The sequence below is a fragment of the Homo sapiens genome, chromosome 10, assembly GCF_000001405.40.
Source record: "Homo sapiens chromosome 10, GRCh38.p14 Primary Assembly".
Lineage (NCBI taxonomy): Eukaryota > Metazoa > Chordata > Mammalia > Primates > Hominidae > Homo > Homo sapiens.
This window is the reverse complement of record NC_000010.11, coordinates 94,072,409-94,081,949: the sequence shown is the minus strand read 5'-3', so window position 1 is coordinate 94,081,949 and position 9,541 is coordinate 94,072,409. Positions and strand designations below refer to the sequence as shown.

General features: G+C 40.5%; 1 protein-coding gene across 25 annotated transcripts in view; it reads right to left on the bottom strand.

Moving 5' to 3' along the window:
- PLCE1 (phospholipase C epsilon 1) overlaps positions 1 to 9,541 on the bottom strand; it is a 338,893-nt gene that overhangs the window by 250,874 nt on the left and 78,478 nt on the right. The window lies entirely within an intron of this gene.

The following is a 9,541-nucleotide window of genomic DNA, read 5'->3' as shown; positions in this document are numbered from 1 at the left end:
ACACACTGGAAGTGCTTCTCTGGCATCACTTCAATAAAATTTCATGCCTGCACAAGCAGGCAAGGTGGAAAGGGATACCTTTCCCCCAAGTCATCTGAGACCAAGAGGCAGTATAGGCAGTTGGACTCTGAAGTTACTGGGACTGGGGTTTGACCCCAGACTCTGTTAATTACCTCCTAGCTGTATGATTCTGGAAAGGTTACTTAACTACTCTAAGCTTCAGTCACTTCATCTATAAAGCTGATACAGACCTACATTATTGATTATTAGTGTAATCAAGTTAAGTAAGGTTTAGCAAATGCCTGAGGACATGTCTATTTAATATCATACTAGAGGTACTAGGCAGTGTAATAAGACATGAAAAACAAGCCAGTGGTATAAAGATAGCAAAGGAAGAAATATACTCAACTGCATACTGCAGCTTGGTTAAAATAGATTTCTACCTAATTACAAAAATAAATTCCAAATGAATGAAAGGTTAAAATGTAACAAACAAAACATTTAAAACATTTTGATGAGAATACCTTCACAATCTCAGCATAAGGATTTCCTAAAATATAAAAAGCAGAAATCATGAAGAAAAATGTTCATTAGATCACAAAGAAATTTAAAATTTCTACACAACACATGATAATATAAACAAAACTAAATGAAAAGTTATGGATTAGAAGTTGGTATTTGTAACACATATTACAGGCAACAGAATAATCCAAATATACAGAGATCTTTACAAACCAAGAAGAAAAATAAATAGAAAAATGGCAAATAGGTAAAATGGAAAAAGATATAAACATGTAATTCATAGAAGCAGCCCAGGTAGCCAATAAACATTAAAAATGCTCAACTTTACTAGAAATCAGTTAAATATTTAAAAAAACAAGATTGAGATAACATTTTCCTCCCATAATCTAGCCAAAATGTCAAGTTTCCTATTTACTTTCATTTGAGGTGTTCCAACAATTCATGTGGCAATTGTCCACACAGTGGTTAGCTCTGAGGGGAGAGGAGAGAGTAGGAGCTTCAACTGTTTCTGTAACATTTTATTTCTTTGAAGCAAATACTGCAAATGTTTCCACCTGCAAGTCTGGGCAGTGGTACATGGCTATTTGTCATAAGCTCCTTGTGCTTTCCCAGTATTCTTGAAATATCCATAATAAATAAACACAAGCAAACAAACTATCTCTAAAACAACCTGTTGATATTAAGAAACAACAGAATACAGAAGTGCCTGGATAACTCTGTTTTTGAGAGTGCAGGCTGGGCCTACAATGGAAACAGTGTAAAGGCTGGTGAAGGGGGCCAGTGAAAAGGACAGGTGAATGATGTGAGGAAACACACATATTTCAGTAAGAATGTAGGTCTGGAAAATAAAGTCTAAAAGCAGAGAAGCTGACTCGGAATCCAGAGAAGTACAGGCCTCATTTGTTCATTCACTGCACAAATAGTCATTGCACTGAAATGAAACATTTTACTTGGTCCCTGGGCTAATAGCATGTCCAATCTCATGGTAGAGACTGACTCATGAAAGAATCACAACTAATAGCTGATCTTAGCTAGGAGAAGGGGTGTGGTGGTCTAGGAAGGCTTCCCTGAGAACATAAACTGAAGTTAACAACCAGGTAAAAAGAGGCTGGTAGCTAGGAGAGTGTGTCCCAGACAGAGGGACTAGCACATACAAAGGGCCTGAGGCAGAGAGGAGTTTGGACCTGTGAGGTGTTCATGCAGAATCTAAAGACATCTCAAGGTTCAGGGGTGCTGTGAGAATGGGCATTTAAATGAGGGACTAAGGGGAGTGTACTTAGGTCTTTCTCAAAGACCAAAGTACCAGAGAGAACTCATCAAAGGTGAAGGACGATGGGTAAAAGGCTGAAAGACAGCTGAAAGTAACAATAAAAACCTAGCAAGCCAAGAAATAACAGGAGTAGTTAACTGTCCTGCACACAGTTCATACCCTGGGATTCCCCATCACAATAGTAAAATCAGCTATAAACTTGAAATGTTAAAACAAATCGGTAGATTGAGTTGCAGAGGACACAGTGGAGAAGGAACATTGGAAACTCCTCCAAGGAAGGAATAGGAAAGTTCCTTGCATATGCTTTTTGGAGAAACCTCGAGAGCTAGGAGGCAGCAAAGGGAATCATGTCAGCAACAGCTAAAAAACCAACCTAGAAGCATCCTTCCTGGACTCTACCCCAGGCTAAGCCTGTCACATAAAAAAATTCAGAAGTCAGAAATTCCAGTTGGCTTAGGGCAAGAATTTTTCCTGAGGGTTCTTGAACTGGCTCTGCTATAAAGAATAGAAGATAATATGTTTTTAAATTTTTTATGTTAAATTAAATTTCTTTTTTTAAATTATACTTTAAGTTCTGGGATACATGTGCAGAACGTACAGTTTTGTTACATAGGTATACACGTGCCATGGTGGTTTGCTGCACCCAACAACACGTCATCTACATTAGGTATTTCTCCTAATGCTATCCCTCCCCTCGCTCCCCACCCCACGACAGGCCCTGGTGTGTGATGTTCCCCTCCCCTTTCATAATGAAAACCGACATCTTGGGATTAAACCAAAAGAAATAAATATAACTCAATGCTTTTCCCTAATTTCATGTCAATTCCAGGCTCCAGAGAGGACATTAATGTTTTCTCATTTCAAATAATGCTTAGTTCTTTGGTGGGAGAGCTTCGTGACCTCAGATTTGCTCCAATGCTTTCTCTTAATGTTGTGATGAAAATATCCACTTGACTCAAGTGACATTTTCCTATTTGCCATCAAGTCCAAGTGTAGCCCCTTGAGAGAAAAAGCAACTTGGGGCTATTTTTTTTCTCAAAAATTTTGTAACGGCTACCAATTACAATTTAATTAATTTAATTACAGTTTAATAGAAATATTAAAACTCTGTCCACATTGGGGAAAGTGAATTCTAATTACACCGTGGAGGGATGTAGCACCTACAGCTGCAGATTTGGGTTCTGCCTCTTCCCAGATGTTACTTTGCACACATCCTCAACTTCCAGAAGCCCATTCCCTGCAGATAAACTAAGACAAAAAGACTACCTCCTAGAGGTATTGTTGTGGAGGTCAGATTTGGTAATGTTTGCTAAGCATGAAACAGAGCAAGCATGCAAAATGTTGTAGCTATTGCCAATCTTTTAAAGAATGAGCAGGCCACACATGGTGGCTCACGCCTGTAATCCCAGCACTTTGGGAGGCCAAGGTGGGTGGTTCATGAGGTCAGGAGTTCAAGACCAGCCTGGCCAAGATGGTGAAACTCGTCTCTGCTAAAAATACAAAAATTATCCGGGCATGGTGGTGGGTGCCTGTCATCCCAGCTACTTGGGAGGCTGAGGCAGAGAATTGCTTGAACCTGGGAGGGGAGGTTGCAGTGAGTTGAGATCGCACCACTGCATTCCAGCCTAGGTGACAGAGCGAGACTCTGTCTCAAAAAAAAAAAATGAGCAAAAAGTGATTTTCAAGACCATGCTTCATGTTTTCTGAGGGGCTAATTTGTACGGAAAAGCACAAGGCAAGAATTGCGACCTGAAAACATGCAATTTTTCTTCATAGGACTAAAATCACCTTTAAAAGGGGGTTATAGATGCTGAAAACAAAATCACTGAAGTCACCACAACCTGCTCATTTCAACATATAAGAATTATTAAGGACTAAATGCTGCACATCACTATAATATTAAATTCCCGAGGCTGCCATTCTAATGCAAACAAATCTATCAGATGGCAATGTTTGCCAAAAAGCTGAAAGAGCTTTAGAATTCAATTCAGATATTTTTAAAAAGTCAATAAGGTGCCATATTATGTAACTACATCATCAGAGACTGAGACAGTAACCCATAATCAAATAAAGATTTCTGCAACAGATGTCTAAATATTCACATTAAATGTAATAAATAAAGACTAGCCTCACACAAGTTCAACTAAGGTTTTGCCACCAAATCCTGTGTTTGCTGTGAATTTTTAAACTTTGTTTTTAGGTCTTTTGCTTTTTGGAACAGCAAATTAGGGATTCTGGGTGTAAAAGAGTACTTTTTACTTTTAAAATAAAGTCCCTATCCTCAGATATTTTAATTTTGTATCTTTATCTCGCAGAAACAAAATCTCAAAGTGCACAAAGATGTAAACCAATATTTATTCCAACACTGTTTTTTTGTTTGTTTGTTTTTTTGAAACAGTGTCTTGCTCTGTCACCCAGGCTGGAGTGCAGTGGCACAATCATAGTTCACTGTAGCCTTGACTCCTGGGCTCAAGTGATCCTCCCGCCTCAGCCTCCGGAGTAGCTAGTACTACAGATGCATGCCATCATGCCCGGCTAATTTATTTATTTATATTTTTTTGGCAGACTTGGGGTCTCACTATGTTGCCTGGACTGGTCTCAAACTGCTAGCCTTAAGCGATTCTCTCACCTTGGCCTCCCAAAGGTCTGGGATTACAGGTGAGATGAGTTGGAAACAACCTTAAGTGACTGCCAGTAGGAAAACATTAACATAGGATGAGAAATTCACACTATAGAATTCAGTGCACCATTGCAAAGAATGAGGTTACCTAGCAAAGGGTTTCTCAACCTCAGTACTAAATATTAGGGGCTGGATAATGCTTTGTGAGGTGCTGTCCTGTGCCTTGTAGAATATTTAGCAACATCTCTGGCCACTACCCATTAGATGCCAGTAGCATCCCGTCACCCCAGTTGTTGACAACTGAAAATGTCTCCAGACATTGCCAAGTGTCACCTCGGGGGCCAAACTGCCCCCAACTGGGAAACACCAGAGCGAATCACATTCATAGGCAGCCCTGATACACTCATAAGTGCACAAAGCAAAGAACAACACTTGTTACATAATGCCTGTTTTATTTCGATGAGATATATAATTGTTTATGTTATAGAAAAAGTCTGGATAGGTATGCAAAAAACAGTTAATACAATGAGAAAGTGAGGGAACTGTGGGTGGGAGGCTTTCCTCTTGTACTTTATCCACTTATGTGCTGTTTCAGCTTGGTAGATTTTAATTTCAGAAATGCAGTTTCTGAAAATAAACATGATACACAACTTCACAGTAAAGACAAAGGTTTAAACGGGTGGGACGGGAGGAGTCTTGTAAAAGGATGTGTGGTCAGGATAGGAAAAGCCCCCCTCAAGGTGGGTGTCCAGCAGAGCTCATGGGACACCCACGGCTGCCAGCAGCTGCTTCCAGCACCCTGGCCTTCTAGGAGGCTGAAATCATTATCTGACCATCAGACTGGAAGTATTCCAGTCTGCAGAATAACAGTCCTCCAACTGTACACTCCAAAATTCTCCTGAGGTTTTTTATTTTTTTCCTTCATGGCAGAAATTAAAGGAATCCTGCCAGGATTCAGCTGAAAGAGCAAGTGCTGAAAGATTCAGTTCTATTTCCACCTACTGGTAGGAAAAAAGACAACCATGCACAGCTCAGAAAAGGCGGCACAACCTCCAATGCTCCATTCACACTGACCCCTCCAACCCTGGAAGACCTTTGTCCTCTGAACTTGTACTGCAACAAAGCAACATCTCAGAAATCACCTGACAGTAATGTAAGTGTAACTAGATTCAAAACATCTTGAGGTGTCAATCAAATCAACCAGGGTACAGTTTTTATAACATCTGTCTTTACTCTAAGCCAGGAATTCTCTCAAGAAAACAGATAATAACCTCCTACTAAACACTCTTCTCTCTAATAAGGATATCCCGTACCCCTTTTATTTATTTAGCTCTTTTATGAGGCTCTCTAGAGCTACCGCAGAAGCAGCTTAGCATGGAGGTAACACACACACACACACACACACGCACGCACACACACACAAACACACACACAGGGCCAATGGTCAAAAAGACTTGAATTTGGGTCTCAGACTTTTCCATTGACTAGGATTTGGCCTTGAGCACATCACTTAACCTCTCCAAGGTGCCATTTCCTCTCCTGTAAAGTAGGCATCCTAATGGTAACACCTCACAGGGCTGTTGTCAGGATTAAATGAACTCATGTATTCAGCATGGTACTTGATGCATAGGAAATAAGCATTAGCTGTTTTTATTACACAATAATTCCACTGACTTCCACCCATTTTCCATCTGAAAAACTGAGGCAAAGGGTGATACTCAAGAGCAAGGAAACTCTGAACAGCAGAACGCATTCTGAATGTGACCCAGGTCATGCTGCAGGTCTCCCCAAACTCCCTGCCTTTCCCAGTTCACTCAGGAAGAGGATATCATCTGTTGTCATAACAGAAGTGCCAGCATACTTGTCTCATGACATACATATTTCCAGTCAGATGATCCAAATATTCCCTTCATTCAAACAAAGGTAGCCTCAGCTCAAAACAGCTAGACACCGATACCAATGCTTTCACCCAATGTCACTTTTACTGTAAAGAACAGAATGCCAGCAGTTTAGTCAGTAGAAGTCAGCAGTAGAATTCAATCTTTCAATGTGAATGACTCCCTAAATCCACATTTACAAATTTGTCACCTAATTTTACACCAATTATGTGTTCTCAAGTAAACCAACATGGACATTAACATGTTCAAACAAAATTAAAATTCTACTAGCCCAATATTTTTTCAATGTCTTATTGATGTCAATCATTTGGAAAGGATGCATCTGCCACCTACTTCGTATTAGATGGAGGGGAGAAGAAGGTGACAAGGCACGTGCTGCCCTCAAGGAGCTCCCAGTCTAGCTGGGGACATGGGCACATCCCTGACTAACTAGCCATTCTGCTAAAGGTGCAAAAACAAAGCACTACAGAACCGAGAGGAGAGAGAAACTAATTGTGATGGTGAATGTGGGGATTCCAGAAAGATCTCACAGAAAGATAATTCCTGTGTTAGTTCTTGAAAGATAATAATTAGGCCAAGAAGAGAAGGGGAAGAAGGCAGGCAGAGAAAGGAATCCACAAAGACAAGAACAGAACCCCAGGCACTTGAAATCCTACTGACATTGTAGAAAACATTATGTGTAGACCCACATTTACAAGGCATAAATTGTCCAGTTGAGGAGAGGACTATAATTGATTGATATGGCTGTCTCACTTAATATTATACAAGTTATTCTTTAAAAAATCAATACTAAGCCCTGGAAAATGGATCAATGCAAAATTGGGATCTGAGGAAATAAAGCAATTAATATCATTAGTAACTAGACCAATGACACCTTTTAAAAGGAAATATATTTAAGCATTAGTTAAGTGGGTTTTGGTTTATCACTATGAAATCTATGTTCTGGCAAGATAGTATCGTAAAGCATTTGAGTAATTATATTAATGTTGTTCTAAATGGCTGTTTACATTTTGGACTTAATAAAGATACTCATAAAGCAGTTCCATTTAGAGATAAAAATCACCAGATTTACTAAACTCAGGACATGAATAGAAAATGGATTTCACATTGCATGCCAACTCTGATCAACTGGTAGAACTGTTTGGGATGGGCCCTGTGTTATGGCTCACACCTATGGTCCAACCACTTTGGAGGATAGCTTGAGCTCAGGAGTTTGAGACCAGCCTGGGCAACATAGGGAGACCCTGTCTCTACAAAAAATAAAAATGAAAAATAGAAATTAGCCAGGTGTGGTGGTGTACATCTGTGGTCCCAGCTACTCAGGAGGCTGATGTTGGGAGTATCACTTGAGCTCAGGAGTTCGAAGCTGCAGTGATCCATGTTTGAGCCACTGCACTCCAGCCTGGCTACAGAGGGAGACTCTGTCTACAAGAAAAAAAAAAAAAAAAAAAAGAACTGCTTGGTATGATACATTATGAAAAAAATTTTAGGCCCTGTCTGAACTTGAAACTGACCCAGTTTTCCCATAGAAATGATATTTATGGGTCACTGAATAAACATAAAAATTGGCCCTCCATCTTAACACTTGAAACTTGTATTTGTCTTAACTGAGTGCCTTCCTCAGGAACTGACCCTCAGACAAGGGACTGAAACTCAATAGATCACCACAACCAGACAGTGAGATATCAAATCCCTCATTGATCATGATTAATTCCCTAATTCCTGTTTTCCCGCCTTCTGTGCTATATAAACACCCTAATTTTTGTCAGTCCAGGAGCTGGATTTGAAACCTCATCTCCCATCTCCTTGGTTGCAGCACCGATTAAAGCCTTCTTCCCTGGCAATGCTTGCTGACTTGGTGATTGGCATTCTGTGTGGGGAGCAGTAGGACCTAAACCAAACCTCTGGTGTTTTGGTAACAAATTCATGAAAAACAAGTGTCATGATTAGTAGCATCTGCCATGGGTGCAGTGGGCTGGAGGTAGCACATGTGCCCAGTATTGCCATTCCTGACTTAAAACCCTAAAGTGGAAGGGAAGAGGAAATGAACTAAATTGATCGATTGGCTTCTATTTATTGAATCATAAAATGCTGTCTTCTCCATACTGGTTTTAACTGTCTTCTCTCAATTCTGCTTCCGTATCTTCACCCTTCCACCTGGAATATTTCCCTGTCTGACCTCCTTCTACAGACCCCTCTAGGTCTAACTCAAGCCCCACTTTCCATGAAGCCATTCCTGACAATTTCCAGTCCTCACTGAGCACCATATAACTTTAGACATAACATTTAGAAGTTTATAAAGTAAGTTGGTTACTTGGAATTCAAAACATGTTTGCTCATGGAAAAGGTAATATAAATGCTGATTAGTATACTATGCTAGTCTATAAAAATCTAAGTAATGACATGGGGAAAAACAATGTATGTGCCAGAATGTTCATTTAAAAAGAAACGATCATGAACTGCCTGGGGTTGGTGGGTGGGGTGGTGGGGGGAGCAGTTACACTCCTAGAAAATGCTGGAAGTTTGGGGTGGGAAACTGGATATGGAAGGATGAAGACAGGAGCCAGGATAACTGGTGTGCCCTGGGGTAGGAAGTGGGGGGCAGAGAGGGAAAGAAAACACCCTGTGCTCCCTGACAAAAGAGGCTCTGCAGCTGGAAATGCTAGAGGAGGGGCCCAAGCTGCTACTGAGAGGGAAGGTGTACACCCTCTCCCCCATCAGCACCATGGGCTCTTCAGCGATCTCCACATTGCTCACCAGTGCATCTGTGTGGGTGAGTAGACACTTCTGGTGAGAGCTCAAAGAGGAAGGCCACCTGGTGACATTGGGTCAGACTCATCTAACCCTCTTCATTACATAAGAAATGAAGACAGAAAACTCTTATTGAAATTCTAGGGATGAAACATAACAAAAAATAAGTAAGTATCACTATTGATGCTTGAAAATAAACTGGTCTATTTGTAGGAGAATAAAGAAATAAATGACAATTTGAAAGAGACATTCTGAAGAGTTCCTATGCTTTCGTCTGTATAGGTCACAAAGTCAAATATCTATAGGAGCCAAGCAAATAAAAGAAATGGGTAGCCTGTAATCCCAGCACTTTGGGAGGCCAAGGCAGGCAGATCACAAGGTCAGGAGATTGAGACCATCCTGGCTAACATGGTGAAATCCCGTCTCTATTAAAAATACAAAAAACTTAGCCAGGCATGGTGGCGGGTGCCTGTAGTCCCA